Source organism: Homo sapiens, chromosome 7, assembly GCF_000001405.40.
Source record: "Homo sapiens chromosome 7, GRCh38.p14 Primary Assembly".
NCBI lineage: Eukaryota > Metazoa > Chordata > Mammalia > Primates > Hominidae > Homo > Homo sapiens.
Window position 1 is genome coordinate 158,502,480 of NC_000007.14, and position 18,667 is coordinate 158,521,146.

General features: G+C 50.7%; 1 protein-coding gene across 13 annotated transcripts in view, besides 1 other annotated feature; it reads right to left on the minus strand.

Moving 5' to 3' along the window:
• PTPRN2 (protein tyrosine phosphatase receptor type N2) overlaps positions 1 to 18,667 on the minus strand; it is a 1,048,768-nt gene that overhangs the window by 963,424 nt on the left and 66,677 nt on the right. The window lies entirely within an intron of this gene.
• Positions 5,778 to 6,289: an enhancer, noted in NCBI's record as "H3K27ac-H3K4me1 hESC enhancer chr7:158300949-158301460 (GRCh37/hg19 assembly coordinates)". NCBI's record gives its function as "activates a minimal SCP1, AML or CMV promoter by ChIP-STARR-seq in primed H9 embryonic stem cells {active_cell/tissue: H9 hESC(primed)}" and the evidence as "EXISTENCE:reporter gene assay evidence [ECO:0000049][PMID:30033119]".

Below are 18,667 nucleotides of genomic sequence, written 5' to 3' on the forward strand. Positions count from 1 at the left end.
CAGCCCTGGACACAGCCACCCCTCAGGGGTCCATGGCCACCAGCCCCACCCCTGCTCCTCGGGACGCCTTCCTCCCGGCTGCACTTGCCGAGTCCCCTGGAGCACGGAAAAGGCTGTGTCAAGTGGTCTCACATCCCCCAGTTCACACAGCGAGGCTAGGTGGACACACCCAAACCTGGACGTCACCACACACCACGCTGTTGATTCCACAGCCTGATTTTACAATAGAAAATAGATTCTTTTCTTGTCAAATTCACGCTGAGCCACTTTTCCCTCACCCCCAGCCACTGTGTCCATCAACTACTGTGTCCATCAGCCACTGTGTCCATCAACTACTGTGTCCATCAACTACTGTGTCCATCAGCCACTGTGTCCATCAGCCACTGTGTCCATCAACTACTGTGTCCATCAGCCACTGTGTCCATCAGCCACTGTGTCCATCAACTACTGTGTCCATCAGCCACTGTGTCCATCAACTACTGTGTCCATCAGCCACTGTGTCCATCAGCCACTGTGTCCATCAGCCACTGTGTCCATCAACTACTGTGTCCATCAACTACTGTGTCCATCAGCCACTGTGTCCATCAACTACTGTGTCCATCAGCCACTGTGTCCATCAACTACTGTGTCCATCAGCCACTGTGTCCATAAGCCACTGTGTCCATCAACTACTGTGTCCATCAGCCACTGTGTCCATCAACTACTGTGTCCATCAGCCACTGTGTCCATATGACTTTCACCACTGGCCCCTTGACTCCAGGATGGGACTCTCTTCTCATCCATGTGTAATTCCAAACTCACATTTGACTCAGATACCCAGTCTAAACCTTTCTGGACTCTAATGTCACAATACCAGCTTCTCTCTACCCTCACAGCTGTGTACCATGTGCAGGTTTAATCAACAGGTCCTTGATGTCTTCATCTGACTCACTGAAACAAGTAGGAAAAAAGAAAGCAGAAGAGGTGGATGGAAGGATGGCACCCCTTCCTCCCCCGGCCTGTCTCCCCACCAGGTTTCCCAAACTGGAAGCATCCGTTCATTGCACATCTCTGAAGAGGCAGAGCCGGCACCACAAGAATGGAGGACTTGGAAGTAACAGTACCGAACACTGATGATTCTACTGAGAGAATGGAAAGAGCTCCTGGTTACGAACAAAAAGTTACAGATATTAGTCATGTTACCATGGACAAATCACTCACTCTGTCTGCACCTGTTCACTTGAAACATTATTGGGAACTGGCCAGCCACGGTGGCTCACGCCTGTAATCCCAGCACTTTGGGAGGCCGAGGCAGGCAGATCATTTGAGGGCAGGAGTTGTAGACCAGCCTGGCCAACGTGGAGAAACCCTGTCTCTACTAAAAATACAAAAATTAGCCAGGCGTGGTGGTGTGTGCCTATAATCCCAGCTACTTGGGGGGCCAAGGCAGGAGAATCGCTTGAACCCGGGAGTCGGAGGTTGCAGTGAGCCACACTCCAGCCTGGGGGACAAGAGTGAGACTGTCTCAAAAAAAAAAAAATGGAAAAAAAATTATTGGGAATTGTTTTATATCATAAAAGCCTAGAAAATTAAGAAAATGCAGAAAATCTCAAAGAATAATACAATACCAGTTAACTCATTACCTAGAGATAAATTCCTTGTTAATATTTTGGTTTTCAGCTACTTTTCTTTGCATATATGAAAGACCTGGGGTCATACTGTACACACACCTTTAATTTTTGTCCAACTTATACATCCTGGGGTCCATGTCCAGGATGTGCAGGTTTGTCACATAGGTAAGTGTGTGCCATGGTGGTTTCCTGCACAGAGCATCCCCTCACCTGGGTATTTAGGCCAGCGTCCATTAGCAATTATTCCTGTGCTCTCCCTGCCCACCCCCACAACAGGTGCCCAGTCTGTGTCGTTCCCCCCCCATGTGTCCATGTGCTCCCGTCATTCAGCTCCCACTTATAAGTGAGAACATGCAGTGTTTGGTTTTCTGTTCCTGTGTTAGTTTGCCGAGGATAACAGCTTCCCGCTCCATCCATGTCCCTGCAAAGGACATGATCTCACTCTTTTCTACGGCTGCATAGTAGTCCATGGTGTGTACGTATGTACCACACTTTCTTTATCCAGTCCCTCACTGATGGGCATTTAGGTTGGTTCCATGTCTCTGCTGTTGTGTACACACAACTTTATAACCTGCACTTTTTACTTATAACACATTGTGAACAATTCCCTGTCCTTAGTATTTCTCATCATGAATTTTAATCACTGCTTAATAACTATTTCTACACATGCACATCATCTAGCTAACCAATTCCCTCTTGAAGAAACTTTACATTGTTTCCAATATTTCCCATTAAAAATAATACTGCAATACGCAATCTTGATTGTAAGTCCTTGGAGAGATCTCTGATTTTTTCCTCTTAGGATACATTCCCATAAAAAGAATTCTAGATATTTTAAAGGTATATATGTAAGACTTTCAAAATATCTTGCCAAATTGCCCTGTCACCAACAGAATATGAGTGAACCTTGAAACCTCAGCTTCTTAATTTGTTAAAATGCAAACTATGTTCCCCTCCTCACCCTATAGGGTTGCCGGGAAAATCCAAGGCTCTAACAAAAGTTAAAACATGAACTCTGATGCAGGTAGGATTATCATCGCATCATAAATCACTCAGGGACCTGCCTCTTTTTTCCCACTATATCACTGAGGCATAAGTCTGAACCACTGTTAGTCAAAAAAATGCATAAATGAAATAAAATAATATAAACCCATGGGACACTTCTGGCAAAATGAAGCCTCCAGGCAAGGCCATGCTTTGGGACCTGCTGATGCGATTTGCTGCCACCTCCAGAACCACCAAGACGGAGTAAAAGCTTTTCGTTCCATGTGCAGCTGTGTGTGCTCCATGAGCGTGCAGAATTCTCTCTGTTGGCTGGTTCCCAGGCCATTCCTTCTCTACAAAGGTGACATCTAATCATGCACAATGGAACACCTGTGTGGTGTCCAAGTCCCCCGTTCACTACCAGAGAAAAATTAATGCAGGGCTGTCAACAGGCTCCTAAGGTTAAATAACAATAGTTTTAAAATCCTGAGCTGTAACACAAAGGCACATTTAATTTGAAAGCATGTATTTCTGCCTCTGCCTTTTGGTTTAGAGGACTTCATTCTGCCCTGGACAGTGAGAAGAGGGAATGGGGAGAGGAAGAGGAAGAAAAGGAGTGTGAAGTAGGAGGGAACGGAGGAGCCGGGGTGGGAGGGGGGTGGGGTGACCTGAGCACGCGCCTCACTCCTGGAACCCTGATTCTTCCACCGTACACGTGTATGCCATCACCATGCCCTGCGTCCTTAAGGGGTTCAATGTGGTGCTAAATAACATGAGCCCAAATAGTGCCTGCCATAAGCAGGCATCCAGTAATCCCAAGTGGTGGCTGTTAACAACACACTGAGTACCACCTGGCAGCTACAGTGGGTCAGACGCTGCACCGGGTACAGCAGGAAGCACAGAGCCCACCGCGCGTCCTCACATGTGATGGCCGAGGGGCCACCTCAGGGCTGCAGAGGGTGAGGAGGGCAAAGAGCTGGAATTTCCAGAGGGCTTGGGACGTGCTCTGGTACAGGGCACACAAGGCCGGTGCTGAGACACTGTGCAGCTGGGAGAGGGCGAGTTCTGTGGGGAAGCACAGAGAAAGCAGAGGCTCCATGGGAGGCTTCGGCGTCGGACAACCCCAGTGGAACAGGCGGGCCATTAGGAGAACACAGGAAAGTGAGACACACACAAGGAAGTCCCCTCTCCCCGGAGGTGCCAGACTCAGGTGGGGCTGCCACTGGCAGCAATCATGAAGAACATGGCCAAGGCTGCGGGCTCCACAGTGAGGCTGAGGATTGAACCTGAGTTTGAGCCCAGCTTTGTCCTCCTTCAGTAGAATGACTAAGTGACACCGGCCACACAGGTGTGGTGGCAATTGTGCAGAGCAAAGCACTTCAGAGGCTTCCTGAGCCAAGCACACGGGAGAGGAACCCACCCAGGCCACCTCCCGCCTAGCACCTACTGCATCTAATACCCACACTTCATTTATTTTGCTTAACATCCGTCTTCTCCTTGAATGGGAGCCCTACAGGCCCGGGGTCTACAGGAGCCCCATGAACAGTGGACTTTTGGCCACCAAGGCAGTGGTGTGATGATGGTGACAGCCACGGAGGAGTGTGGCTACTGGCAGGAAGGGCCCCGATCCTCCCCCAACCCCACCTCCACCCAGGCTTGGCCACTGGCTAGCTGTGACATGACAAGGCGGATGCCGGGGGCCTCCGAAGGCCTGGGTGTCTCCTCACTCCCCCGCCCCTCCGCCATCGCCATAGGAAGGACACACCTGGGCCAGCCCGATGGTTGCAAGAGCAGGATGGCAGGTGCATGGGCAGAGACACTAGGGCCAGCCCAGCCCGGAGCAGCCACAACCAATCATGAAGGACACCGCTCTGGTTCGGGGTGGTTTGATGGCTGGCCAATACCAGGGATTCCAACCTGACTAGAGAGGCCCCAGCATGGTCAGCTGAGGAACATCAGGAGGTTACTGGGGGGAATGGGCTCTGAGCTAGGTTTGAAGGGTGGAGAGGCAGGGAGAGGGGTGGGTAAGCTATGGGTCAGAACAGGCATCCATGAGGATCTCTCAGGACCCAGGGCTTGGATGTGGGGCAAGGACTGCACACATGGATGTCAGTGAGGACCGTCCAGGGGACAGCCCTGCACTAGGCAGGAAATTGCACACAGAGAGGTCAGTGAGGACTGTCCAGGGGATAGCGCTGCAGTGTGCAGGAGACTGCACACAAGAAGGTCAGTGAGGACCATCCAGGGGATAGCCCTGCGCTGGGCAGGAAATCACACACATGGAGGTCAGTGAGGACCATCCAGGGGACAGCCCCGCACTAGGCAGGAAATTGCACAAACAGAGGTCAGTGAGGACCATCCAGGGGACAGCCCTGTGCTGGGCAGGAAATCACACACATGAAGGTCAGTGAGGAACATCCAGGGGACAGCCCTGCGCTGGGCGGGAAATCACACACATGAAGGTGAGTGAGGAATATCCAGGGGACAGCCCCGTGCTAGGCAGGAAATTGCACACACGAAGGTCAGTGAGGAACATCCAGGGGACAGCCCTGCTCTGGGCAGGAAATCACACACATGAAGGTCAGTGAGGAACATCCAGGGGACAGCCCTGCGCTGGGCGGGAAATCACACACATGAAGGTGAGTGAGGAATATCCAGGGGACAGCCCCATGCTAGGCAGGAAATTGCACACACAGAGGTCAGTGAGGACCATCCAGGGAACAGCCTCTGCAACAGGCAGTGGACAGGAGACCGCATGCACGGAGGTCAGTGAGGACTGCCCAGGGGATAGCGCTGCAGTGTGCAGGAGACTGCACACATGAAGATCAGTGAGGACCATCCAGGGGACAGCCCTGCGCTGGGCAGGAAATCACACACATGGAGGTCAGTGAGGACCATCCGGGGAACAGCCCCGTGCTAGGCAGGAAATTGCATACACAGAGGTCAGTGAGGACCGTCCAGGGGACAGCGCTACAGTGTTACGAAGGTCAGTGAGGAACATCCAGGGGACAGCCCTGCTCTGGGCAGGAAATCACATACACGGAGGTCAGTGAGGACCATCCAAGGGACAGCCCCACGGTGGGCAGAAGGCAGGTGGGCAGGCGGCAGGAGACCACAGGCATGGAGGTCAGTGAGGACCGTCCAGGGGACAGCCCCACGCTGGGCAGGGGGCAGGAGATGACACTGTGGTCATCCGAAAGCTTTCGATGGTCGGCAGGACTATGAATTGAACCAGTCAGCGGGGGCTTCCACAGGCTGCTGAGCAGTGAGGGGACATCTGAGAAGGTGTATGTGGCACCTGTCCAAGCTGATTAGAACAAGGAGAGTCAGGAGTGAGGAGGATGCATGGATCATCAGGGCCAGGATGACAGAGGAGGAACAGGGGAAGTCAGGGTCAGGACGAGGGTGTGGCCGTGACTCAGCAACTGAAAGAACACAGGAGCTACCCAGCTCCAGGGGTGTGGTGAAGGCAGCCTGTGGGGAGCTGGAGAGGAGCAGGTGCGGAAGTGGCTCCGCTCCTGTGGGTGTCGGGGCAACGTGGGACGCTCGGAGCAGGTGCGGAAGTGGCTCCGCTCCTGTGGGTGTCGGGGCAACGTGGGACGCTCGGAGCAGGTGCGGAAGTGGCTCTGCTCCTGTGGGTGTCGGGGCAACGTGGGACGCTCGGAGCAGGTGCGGAAGTGGCTCTGCTCCTGTGGGTGTCGGGGCAACGTGGGACGCTCGGAGCAGGTGCGGAAGTGGCTCTGCTCCTGTGGGTGTCGGGGCAACGTGGGACGCTCGGAGCAGGTGCGGAAGTGGCTCCGCTCCTGTGGGTGTCGGGGCAACGTGGGACGCTCGGAGCAGGTGCGGAAGTGGCTCTGCTCCTGTGGGTGTCAGGGCAACGTGGGATGCTCAGGAGGGGGCCTCAGCACGCAGGAAGCTGAGCTCACAAGGGGTCGGATTGCAAGATCTCTTCAGAGGTGGAAGCTGATGCGGGTGGAGGTGGGTGGTTTCTAAAGATAAGAAGGGGAGGAAGAAGATGGGGACTGGGAGGGGAGAGGGAGAGAGAGAGCAGAAGGATGAGCTTCTGTTGAAGAGAGAGGCGCCACACACAGCCTCCACGCAGCCTCCACCCAGCAGGCGGGACCAGTGGACAGGCTGCAGCTCACAGGGTCCTTGCTCAAAGGCGGCAGCAAATGCACCATCCACTTCCTTTCCTTGCCGGCCCGTCAGTCACAGCATCGGAAGAATGAATAGTGCTCCCTGATCCCTAACGTGCAATCGGGGCTGGAGCCGGAGACCCCTCCACCCTGCAGTCAGGGCCAGCGGGGCTGTCTCAGGCAGCACATCTAAAGGCCTCTCCAAGCCATGCACCCACCCTGCAGGAAAGAGCTCAGCATCCTGGCATCAAGTCTGCCATTCAGGCCACACTGGGACTTGGTGTCCAGTCCTCATCTCTTCTTTCTAGAAACCCAAGTTAAAGATCAAGGTGACACAGAACCAGAGCTTAGCAGCCAAAATCAGAATAGCACAGATGCGTAGTCACCCCAAAGCCCATCTGCTTTGTTCCGGGATCCCCCAGCCTCATTTCCATCTCTGTCATGGGCTCTACTGACAACACACTAGCAGAAGAGACCACACGTCTGTCAGCGCCCACAGGCAGGTGGCCCAGGGGAGCAGGGCCTGTCCTTTGCCCAGGCCTGAGGCCACACGGGCAGAGTGGCAGTGGAGGGCTGGCATGCACACAGAGGATGGTGACTTGCAGTGCTCTGTTCCATGGCCGAGAGGGCTGTAAGTGATTTGGTGCATCTTAGATAGTCATTCCACCCGGCAAGCACCAACTCAAGGATGTTCATGGCCCTCAAATGTACACTTGAGGCCAGGCTATGAGGGGAGCACGAAGATAGAGGACGAGACACAAGTCAAGCCTTAAAAAGCCATTCTCTCGGCAGAGAAGAACAGGCACACACAACCAAGCTGCCCATTCCCCAGAGCTGCTAAGGAGACAGTGTTCGCAGATCTTGGATCAGTGGAGACACCCTGAGAGAGACACCTCAGAGCCTGTACTTTCCAGATTTCAAGGCCACACCCCTAAACCTGTTTCCTGGTGTGCGGGGACACATTTAGCTGGGCCCGGTTCTATCAGGGAATATTTAACATAGTTTCAATGTTACAACTTGGCATCCTCGGCTTCTCCCTCTTGGGTTCTGGGGGAGCCCCAATGACAGAACAACTTAGAAGCCCAGGGTGCTCCGAGGAAACATTTCACCAACTCAGCCCACGGCACCCACACCAGGTGCTCATAGACAGCTGCTAAAGAAATGAGTGAATTAATGACGCTTTCTCAAATTCGCACCCCACAAAAACCTCATTCACACTAAGTGTGTGTGTTTACTCTCTCTCTCTCTCTCTCTCTCTCTCTCTCTCTCACCCAGAGTCCAGGCTAAGACCATCTCACTCTCTTCAGTTTTTATCTTTTCCAAGATTTCATTTCTTAAAAAGATTCTACCCTTCTTTGCATCCTTTTGAACTCCCTCTTCTATTCCTAACCCTGTTCTCTTTTATTTTCATATTGTAATCACAAAATAATTCACAGATATCAGAAATTCTCCTATTTGATAAAAAATACTGTAATTCCATGTAAGAGAAACAGCCATGTTCTTTAAAAACTGAGGAAAAGAAGAGAAAGAGAAAACTATGAGTAGGTCGGATGTGAATGTAAAGAATAAGCCGACAGGTCGGATGTGAATGTAAAGAATAAGCCGACAGGACACTGAGGGCGTTTTGCAGGATCACATTCTTCTCAGGGCCGCTTGCTGGGAAACGACATGTGTCGAGTTCCCAGCAGTGGGAGGGCTGTCGTCGAGGAGGCCCAAGGAATGTACCTTCCCAGCCTCCCACAGGGGATTCCTGCCACCCATGTGAGGTCACATGGGGTTGGCAAAGAACCTTCCTTGAGTAATAGAACTATCATCAATAGGTGATTTGAATTTGTTTTTCTCAAGTTAAAATATTGAAAACAGTTGGTCAGGAGTTGACGGCAAGAAATGCCAGATGAAATTTTCTGGCACCTTTGACCCTGCACCTCTGAGATAAGATGGCAGTGAAACCTCCTCCGTGTCTACCCTTCATGCTCTTACCTTTTCCTTTCCCTCCTCACCTCAAAATGTCGAGAGGCAGCTGGATGCGCTGGTGTGGTCAGGATGGCTACGCAATGCTATTTGCACTTCAAGTTTTACCCCCTATCCTGGGTCCTGGGCCAAGACCTAAAGAGCAGTGTGGTTTGTGATGTTATTAAGTGGATCGGACAGAGACTATGGAAATGCGAACGTGCACATCACATCAACCTGTGCAGAACTTGGAAGGGAGAACCCACGGCTCACAGAGGGGCTTTTTCCTCCTAGTTCTCCTAAACCATCCACATCTTGTAGAACAAAGAACAAGGGTCCCAACACGAAAAAGGAGGCCATCCACACAGGCTGGTGCCATCCCTCCCATACCTGTCTCTGTAGACATGCTCTGTGCCTTGCTTGGAAAATGGAAACTTCTCCAGGCAACCCTGGCCGCACAGCTTTGCCTCTCACACAATCGCACACATCAGCTTCACCCATGTTTCCGGCTAAGCGTCATGTCCCCGCACACCCCTGGGCACCAGTGCAAGACACGGTGGGAGGCAGCATGCTCACAGCTCCTTGGGTACAAACGGGTTGTTCTCACAGAGGCCGGAAAGAGCCAGGGTTCCCACATGCACATTGCTAAGTGAAAGCAGCCAGTCTGAAAATCCTGGAAAAGGCAAAACTATAGAGACATTTAAAAGATCAGTGGTTGTCAAGGATTCCGGGAGAGGAAGGGAGATGTGAGTATGTGAAATAGATGATTTTTTTAGGGCAGTGAGGCTATTTCTATGTTACTGTAACTGTGGATAAATGACATGCATTTATCAAAGCCCACTGAACTTCACAGCACAAAGAGGAGCCTTAATTTATGCAAGTTTAACAAAAAAAATCAAGGATGCTTCAGATCCCGGGACAGAATGCCATGCAGACGGTGATGACAGAATCCTGCAGCATCACAGATGTGTGAAGCCACTGACACCAACGGGGCAGGAGAAAAAGTGCTGACCTACATAGCTCTGGAAACGAGCAGAGCCTGTAAAACTGAAAGGAAAAGATCCTGTCTATAAGCACTGTGCTCTAGCTGATAAACTTGTTTCCCAAGAGGTACCAGCTAGCAATTCTGACTCTACCACACATGCATGCAAAGTGAACAATGAGGTTAACAGCTGGCAGGTGGCAGGAGGAAGTTCTCCCTATTGGAGTGGAGGTTACAGGTAAGCAGGAGGCAGCGTCTGGAATAATCCACATGGTAAGAGCCTGGAGTTGGAGACGTGAATAAGAGCTCATGGTTAGCTTGGTATAGATACAGATGGTAACAGAAATATTTATAAATATGTGTATATTCCTAGATCTCACAGTCACACCCACATGCACACACTCACACACATGCATAGTCACACACACACACACACATCTTCTCGCTCCGTCAGCTGACATGTCCTACAGGCAAGGACATCCCCGCAGTAATGAGCACACACCACGCCCAGCACTTGATTTCCAAAACCATTCTCAGATAGAAGGGACTGGGACTGCTTGGAGAAATGGCTAATTCTAAGACTGAGACAGGAAATACACAAGATGAGCCTAAAGCCTCTTGTAGTGTCAGAAAGGAAGGAAGTGTTTTCAAAAAGCCATAAAGATGGACGTATTCAAAGGGACAGTTTGTGTGAGGCCACGGAACGGGCTGCCGGCAGCCGAAGCTGGAACAATGTGAGCAAACAAAATGAAAAGTGTTATGTTATAGCCCAAAATATAACATAAAGTGTTGAATAAATAAATGGGAAGAAAGAGACAAATCTCCTGTGCAGAATTCCAAACAATTTCTGTCTATCCTCTGCCTTCAAGGAAGCAGAGCATGACGCGTCACTCACGAGTGTGGGTTTACACTGTGCCTTCCCTCAGAGAGTGCAGCAGGGAAAGAGGGAAGCGGGGTGAGGGGGAGAAGCCGCAACCCTCCCCACCAAGCCACTGAGCACAGTTGGTATCCACCATGATGGCGCACACTGAGTGTGTGGCTTTGATCTGATGTGATGAGAAGGCACTTCACCCCAATCTTCCTCCCCAGAACTCAAACACATCAGACAAATCCAGGCCAGGGGACATTCTACAGACTGACCAGGCCTCCTCAAAACTGTCAGGGTCCTCAAAGCCAAGGAAAGTCTGAGAAAATGTGATAGCCAAGAGGACCCCAGGAGACACGACCACGAAATGTATGGTAGAATCCTGGATGAGATCCTGGGACAGAGAAACTTCATTAGGTGAAAACTAAGGAAATCTAAATAAAGTAGGGAATTTAGTTAACAGTCACATAACAGTCATTGGTTCCTTAATTATGACAAACTGTGTACTAATGTAGGAAGTTAATTGGGAAACTGGATGTGAAGATATGAGAACTCTCTGTTCTACCTTCAGTTATTTTAGTAAATCTAAAACTGTCCTGAAAAATAGTTTATTATAGACAGAGAGAGAAATAGCCACATGGTAGAATATATGAAGCCATCAAAATGCTATAGGTTAATACTTCTTAACACAGAAATAGGTTTATGCTACATTAAGTTTTAAAAAACAAGATGTAAATGTGGAAGATAGAAAAGGCAGCCCCGAAACTTACCAGTGGTCATTTGTGCCGGGCAGCGGGAATGTTTTGGCCTTTGATCTTCCTTTTCTGCTTATCTGTGTTTCACATTTTCTTCAAGGAACATGTTAACATCTTTTTAACCCATTATGAAAAATTATACAAGTTATGGGTTATTCAAAGCTCAGTAAAAGCCACTGATACACTAAGTTGATATTTCAAAGGGTGTGATTTTGAAGCCCTCTCACTACAGGCTTTATCAACGCACGATGACTGCACAGGTCTGTCTTAGCTCTAAAGCACCCAGCACTCTGCATCAACACCACGGGCATCAAATGAGGCGGATGGAAGCCTACAACCCTCAATCAGTAACAGCTTGCTGTTTCGTCCAGGACTGACATAGAAGGATTATTCAGGGGGCCCTAATCTTTCTCTTCTGTCTGCTGAGGATGGTCTTACCTCATCACAGGTATACCTGGTATACCTCTGGCTGTTTGTGGAGAGCCCCTGAAAACACAGCAGTACATTCTCCTCGTTTATCAATGAGGAGGGATGGCCACGAAGGGGAGCGGCTGGAGAGAGGGAGTGACGGAGAATGCACAGCTGCATGGAGATGACCCCAGGATGGCAGCAAAGGGCATTCCTCAGAATGACGTGGGCTGCCCAGTCCCTGAACAAGCATGGGCCTGGCAGGGGTGTTCCTCAGATGTTTGTGATGCAATTAAACCTCTGTGGTCCATGAAAGAGAAGGATCTCAGCTGTGTCCACTTAGGGTGTCCCTGTGAGACACGACACATCCCTGCACCCCAGGTGATGGCGATGCCTCCCACTGGCAAAAAGGATCCATGTGTGCAGCAACCCCACCTCTTCCTCAGTGCTCACGGGTGCGTCAAAGAGAAACAAAAGAAGGATACCTACTTTCCAAACACATCATCCATCAACATGCATGCAGCTGTTTACTGGAATTTGCTTTTTCGTTACTTAAGCTAATGAGGTCATTTGGAAGATATTTATGAAAATAAAACATAAGAGGATGAACCTGCCCCATCCATTTGGTTAACAGGAAAACATCTCGCAGATGTAACAGCCATGGCTGACTTCCAGAACTGTCACCATCCGCCTGCCTCAAAGTCACTGGCACGTGTGTGGTTTGCTGCTCCTGGACCCGCTCTCTCAGGGGCATCATCATGAGGCCTCTGCAGAGCCAGAGGAAAGAAAATCATCTGAAGAAGAGGATTCCGTGACCACTCTTATTTTATCTCCACAGTACTGTTTCTTGCCTAATTTGTGCCGAACATTTACGATGACAAAGACGATGATCCGAAAACAGCAGGCAGAACAAGGTTGCACTATGGCGAGGAGAACTGGGATGCGGAGAGAAAGGGGCAGCCCCGGGCACACAAAGCGGCCGCGTGCACCAGCTGGTGTTTCCCTCTCAGTGAGTGTATTTTTTTTTTTTTTTTGAGGCAGTGTTTCCCTCTTGTTGCCCAGGCTGGAGTGCAATGGCATGTTCTCTGCTCACCGCAACCTCTGCCTCCTGGGTTCAAGTGATTCTCCTGCCTCAGTCTCCCGAGTAGCTGGGATTACAGGCACGTGCCACCATGCCTGGCTAATTTTTTTATTTTCAGTAGAGATGGGGTTTCTCCATGTTGGTCAGGCTAGTCTCAAACTCCCAACCTCAGGTGATCAGCCCGCCTCAGCCTCCCAAAGTGCTGGGATTACAAGCGTGAGCCACCATGCCCAGCCGTGCGAATGTAATTTTTAAAATCCAGCATCTCAACATCAGGAAGAACTTTACAGACCAGTTTCCCTTCTCACTCAATTTGGCTGCATCACCCACTGCTCCCAATGGGAGGCGAGTCCCAGGGGCTTTTTCCACCTCATTCCATGCTCGCCTTTCTACATCATCTGTTACATGCTCAAGGCTTCCCCATCGGCCTCTGCAATCCCTCTTCCCAGTTCCTTCCTGTTTCCCTACTCTCCATCCTCCTCTCCTGATTCCTTTCCTTGGCTTGTTTTCACCCACGTGCCACTGAAATACCAGCGTCTACCAAATTTTCACTATCGACACCTCCCACGCTTCATCCTCTGTCTGGTCGTCTCTCCACAGCCATGGCTGTAGTCAGGAATGATTCCTAAATACGTTTCCACACTTTTTCCAAGAGTTCCACCTTCATAGTCCAGTCTTTCTGGACGTTGTAACCTCTATCACACAAACATTTCATACTTGATACTCTAAGGCTGAGCCCCTTTTCACTGTCCCCCTCCCCACCTACCATGATATCCACAGACACGCTGGTGATTGCACCTCACAGAAGCCTCTCTGGGCTTCTCCCCACGCCCCGGCCGCCTGGCCATCTCTTGCCTCAAAGGCCTCCTAAGGAGTCTCCATAGCATTAAGTAATTTACCTTCCAATTCATTCTCCTCTCTCCTACAATTAAAAGTGAATCATTCCAGCCAGCGCAGTGGCTCACACACCTGTAATCCCAGGGCTTTGGAAGGCTGAGGTGGAAGGATCACTTGAGCCCAGGAGTTAGAGACCAGCCTGGGCAACAAAGTGAGACCCTGTTTCTAAAAAACACATAATTTAAATTTTAAAAAATAAATGAAAATCCTCCAATAACATGCAGCCTCTTCTGTATGAAGCCAAAACTTCCTTACAAGGCACAAAGGTGCTTTCCCCTTGTTCCTTCCCATGCCCTCAACTCCCCAGCCCCCTCCCAGCCTGCCTTGCACCCAGCCCTAGGCAGCCACATTCTTGGTGCTTTCTGCCTATTGTTCTTGGTGCTGTTCTTGGTGCTTCTGCCTATAGTTCTTGGTGCTGTTCTTGGTGCTCCTGCCTATTGTTCTTCGTGCTGTTCTTGGTGCTCCTGCCTATTGTTCCTGGTGCTGTTCTTGGTGCTCCTGCCTATTGTTCTTGGTGCTGTTCTTGGTGCTCCTGCCTATTGTTCCTGGTGCTGTTCTTGGTGCTTCTGCCTTTTGTTCCTGGTGCTGTTCTTGGTGCTTCTGCCTTTTGTTCCTGGTACTGTTCTTGGTGCTCCTGCCTATTGCTCTTGGTGCTTTTCTTGGTGCTCTTGCCTATTGTTCTTGGTGCCGTTCTTGGTGCTTCTGCCTATTGTTCTTGGTGCTGTTCTTGGTGCTTCTGCCTATTGTTCCTGGTGCTGTTCTTGGTGTTTCTGCTATTCCTGTAACCTGCAAGGCTTTTCTCCACACTACACCATGGAAAGTCCTCTCTAGTAAACCGTAGCCCAGCAGAACCACTCGTGAGTCCTGTGATTCCTTCCAAACCACTAGACCTGGGGCACCTTGGGCCCCAGCATGGTGCCTCACTGATTTTGGACTGGGCACAACACGATTCATCCAAACACCACTTGACAAAGGCCAGCAGGACAGAACAGTACAACGCTGGTTCCACAGTGTGGTCCTCACTGAAGACAGGGCGGGTGGCATTGACCCCCATTCCTGTCCCACAGTTGAGGGCTGCCCCACAGGCTTCCTCCTCACTTCGGGGGTGCAAGCCTGCAAGACCAAACAGCCCACAGCCTTGGAGGAGGCAGAGTGCGGGCAGCGCCCCCTCACAGAACCGCAGCAACGACACCTATCACCGCCCACCACAGGCGCACTGTGGGCTGATGGGGTGGGCCACATATGGGGAATTCCAGAACGTGACCCTGTACCTAAATCCCTGCAGTTCCCAAGTCTCCCTCAGTCCTTCCCAGACATCTCTTAAGGGGCCTGACTCTGCCTCAGCCCCACCGCCCCCCAGCCTGAGCCCCGTTCCACCTCCTCACTGGCCTCGCTGCCCCTCTGCAATCTCCTCCAACAGCCGCCAGGATCATCTTTACAAAATGCAAAGGTCATATTGCTCCTGAGCTGCAATGCCCTCAGGCAGTCCCCTGCCTTTAGGGTGGAGTCCAAGCCAGCCTCATGGACAGCGTCTCCAGACTCTTCCCCACCATAGCCAGGCAGGCCTCCAGGCGCTTCCAGACTCATCCCCACCATAGCCAGGCAGGCCTCCAGATGCCTCCAGACTCATCCCCACCACAGCCAGGCAGGCCTCCCCAGGCACCTCCATCCCCTTCGTCACACATCCCACACACCCCGGTTTGTTCCCACCAGGCCTTCACTAACATGCCACTGCAGAAAAACCTTCCCTCCCCCCCAGTCTGACTAGAGTCCACTCATTTTTCAGGTACCAAGTTGCACCTTGCTTCCTCCAAGAGGGCTCCCTAATTCCTGACCGGGCGGGGCACCCCTGCAACATTCTCCCAGCTCCCTGGACTCTCCCTGGCCCAGCTCTCGCCAACTGCATTGTGATTACTTAAGAACTTGCTCCTCCCTTAAAAGAAAATAGACTCCAGGAGGGCAAGAGTGGGTTTATCTCAGTTACTGCCATGGTGTCTATAAAATAGTTAGAGCCCAATAGTTCTTACTGAATCAATCTATCAATTAATTAATAGAGACGATACGGATTTCATGGGGTGGGAGGATATGAACATTAATAGAGACGATATGGATTTCACAGGGTGGGAGAAGGATATGAACATTAATAGAGACGATACGGATTTCACGGGGTGGGAGAAGGATATGAACATTAATAGAGATGATACGGATTTCACGGGGTGGGAGAAGGATATGAACACACAGGGACATCAGCGCTTGTCCTTTCTGGACTTAGCAAAGGCCATACTCAGTAGCTCAGGTGCCAAGTAAGCCAGAAGTGAAGAAAATGCACAGCCAAGCCGGGCCAGAACGTCCACAGAGGCTAAAGGATACGGCTCAAGCTCCACCTTTAAAAGAGGGTAGGACTGAGATCAACAGAGGATATAAACAGATTACCAGGACGGCATGACCATAGAGGAAGGACCCACTTGAGGAGGCCACAGCAGGACAAGAGGGAAGGACGAACCTTCCCCAAGGCTAAGGGTCAAACATTCGAGCTGATTAAAAATGTTACTTGAGGCCAGGCGCGGTGGTTCATGCCTGTAATCCCAGCACTTTGGGAGGCTGAAACAGGTGAATTGCTTGAGCTCAGGAGTTCAAGACCAGCCTGGGCAACATGGCGAAACCCCGTCTCTATAAAAAGTACAAAAATTAGCTGGGCATGTTGCTGGGTGCCTGTAATCCCAGGTACTCGGGAGGCTGAGGCAGGAGAATCACTTGAATCTGGGAGGTGGAGGTTGCAGTGAGCTGAGATTACGCCACTGCACTCCAGCCTGGGTGACAAAGCAAAACAACTCTGTCTCTAAACAAACAAACAAAAAAACAATACTTGGGCTCCAGGATGCCCATCATCCTGCAGCAGTTTGCACTGAGCTCCCTTTATGCCAACAGGCTCAGGATCCCCAAAGCACTGCAGCAGAGAACAGCCGTGCAGCATCTCAGGCCACACAGTACACAGGCGTCGTCACTGTTTCCAAGAACTTCCTTGGCTGAAAAGTCATTTCAAACTTTGGGGCTATTTTGGCATCTAAGTGGGAAGAGGGAGAAAACATTAAAAGAAGTCCCTTAGTGCTGACACTGTCCTGCCAGCCAGCACATCTCCTCATTTTATGAAGTCGGACTCATCCCAGCTATCTGTGTGAGACACTCAGTTGGCCATGACAGTTAAATTACTTTTTCATACCGAGAACAGAATTAGTCTATAAATAAGTAAAGAGGTGCTAGGGCTGAGTCAGAAGTGCCGATTCCACCTCAAGCTCCTTCCCTGCCCGATCTGCAGGTGGCTCTCAGGGCATGGGGGACCAAGCTGTGTTTGAGCCTTTGCTTTGCATGGGTGGCTCTGAAGGTGATGGAATGGGCTGGCATTCTCCAGCACTCTCTGGCATTTTCTGACATTCTCCAGCACTCTCCTGCACTCTCCATGTTGATCTGGGTGACTCTGGACCTTCATTCTAAAGATACTCAAGAATCTAGTGGCCATACAACATCCCCAAGGGAGAAAGGGGCCCTTTTTCTCCAATGCTGCTGATGCTGTTTCCCATCATATAAGGACTTTCTCCCATCCCAAGCAGCCAAGGGAAAGAAGTGACTCACCTCAGAAAGAAGAAAAAGGGAAGAAGGGTTACCCAATGCCTCCCCCATGGCATGGAAATTCTCCATTTTCCCCACAACGCCAGCACGGTCACACTCTGCAAGCAACACCCATCTGTTCTCCTTACATTTTCCAACTTTACTATCATTAGCCTGAAACCAAGCTTTCCTGTTCAGTGCAATGACTACTCTGCCAAACACACAAGTTCTGAACAGGACATGTGCCATGGGAAACATTTCGATTTAATGAGCTTTTCCAGTGCAACACAGAATGATTTTTTAAATCCCAGGGATGTCCCCCACTCAAACTTGTCATTTCTTTTAACAAAACAACGGCAATGCCAAGAAAGGAAAGCATTTTCTGGCCACAGAGTGGGCCCTTCAGCTCCCCTTCCAAGAGGGAGCCCTGACACGGAGGCAGAAGGACTTCCATCCCCTAAGAAAAACAGAGTTTGGGATCTTGAACAAGGTGCATTGGCAGCCTGGGTCTCACACCGTCCCTTCTAGAGCAGGAAGGTGTGGAAAGGAGAGTAAAATTCCACTATTGTGAAATTCCCCCTTCAGCAATGAAACGGACTCTGAGAACTTATTTTTCCTGAAAATTATTATTTATGTCCATCTAGATGGTGTTTCTATGTTTACTGCCACTACAATTTAAAACAGTTCATGCCCTTCGGTAGACAGTTTCTAGACGAGTCTTTCCTGGATGTTTGAAGCAGGTTCTCCACCTTCAGCTCAGCTCGAGGCCCCTGGAGAAACACTCCCCAGAGCAGGATCTCCAGAGAAGGCTCCCTTCCGTCAGGAGCAACAGTGGCTCCAACCCCGACTTCCAAGCTCTGGGCGGCCTTCCACTGTTTTGTGGGTGGTGATAATTCCATTTAAAGTAGCACTTACATGGTTTTTTAGAAAAGACTATAACTCCTGGATTTTTTTCAACCATATTACCAATAGAAACAAACATACGAAGAACGATCGGGTGGCTGCTTATCAGAAAATCCTAATCCCTGCCTCAGCCATGCCCAGCCAGGTCACAGTGAGCACGTCCTGGTTTCCATGTCTGAGCACCAGATCGGTAACCCCAGCCTCTTCACTCTCATGAGGGTGCAGCAAAGATTCAGCAGGAGGATACACATGGATACGCTGGGCAAACCACAGGCACCCTGCAGGCCATGAGGGCCTGGCCGAGATCTCAGCCAGCCAAGGAACAGGAGATTTCAGCCACGTCCCTCTTATCTCTCCCACAGCAGGATTCCAAGTGCTGCAGCCAGGACCTTATTCCATGACTTCCCTCTGTGCGAGGCGCTCAGTCCTGCAGACGCAGTGACTTCCTGCCCCAGCTGGAATGCTGTCTGCGTAGTCATACTATAATTTT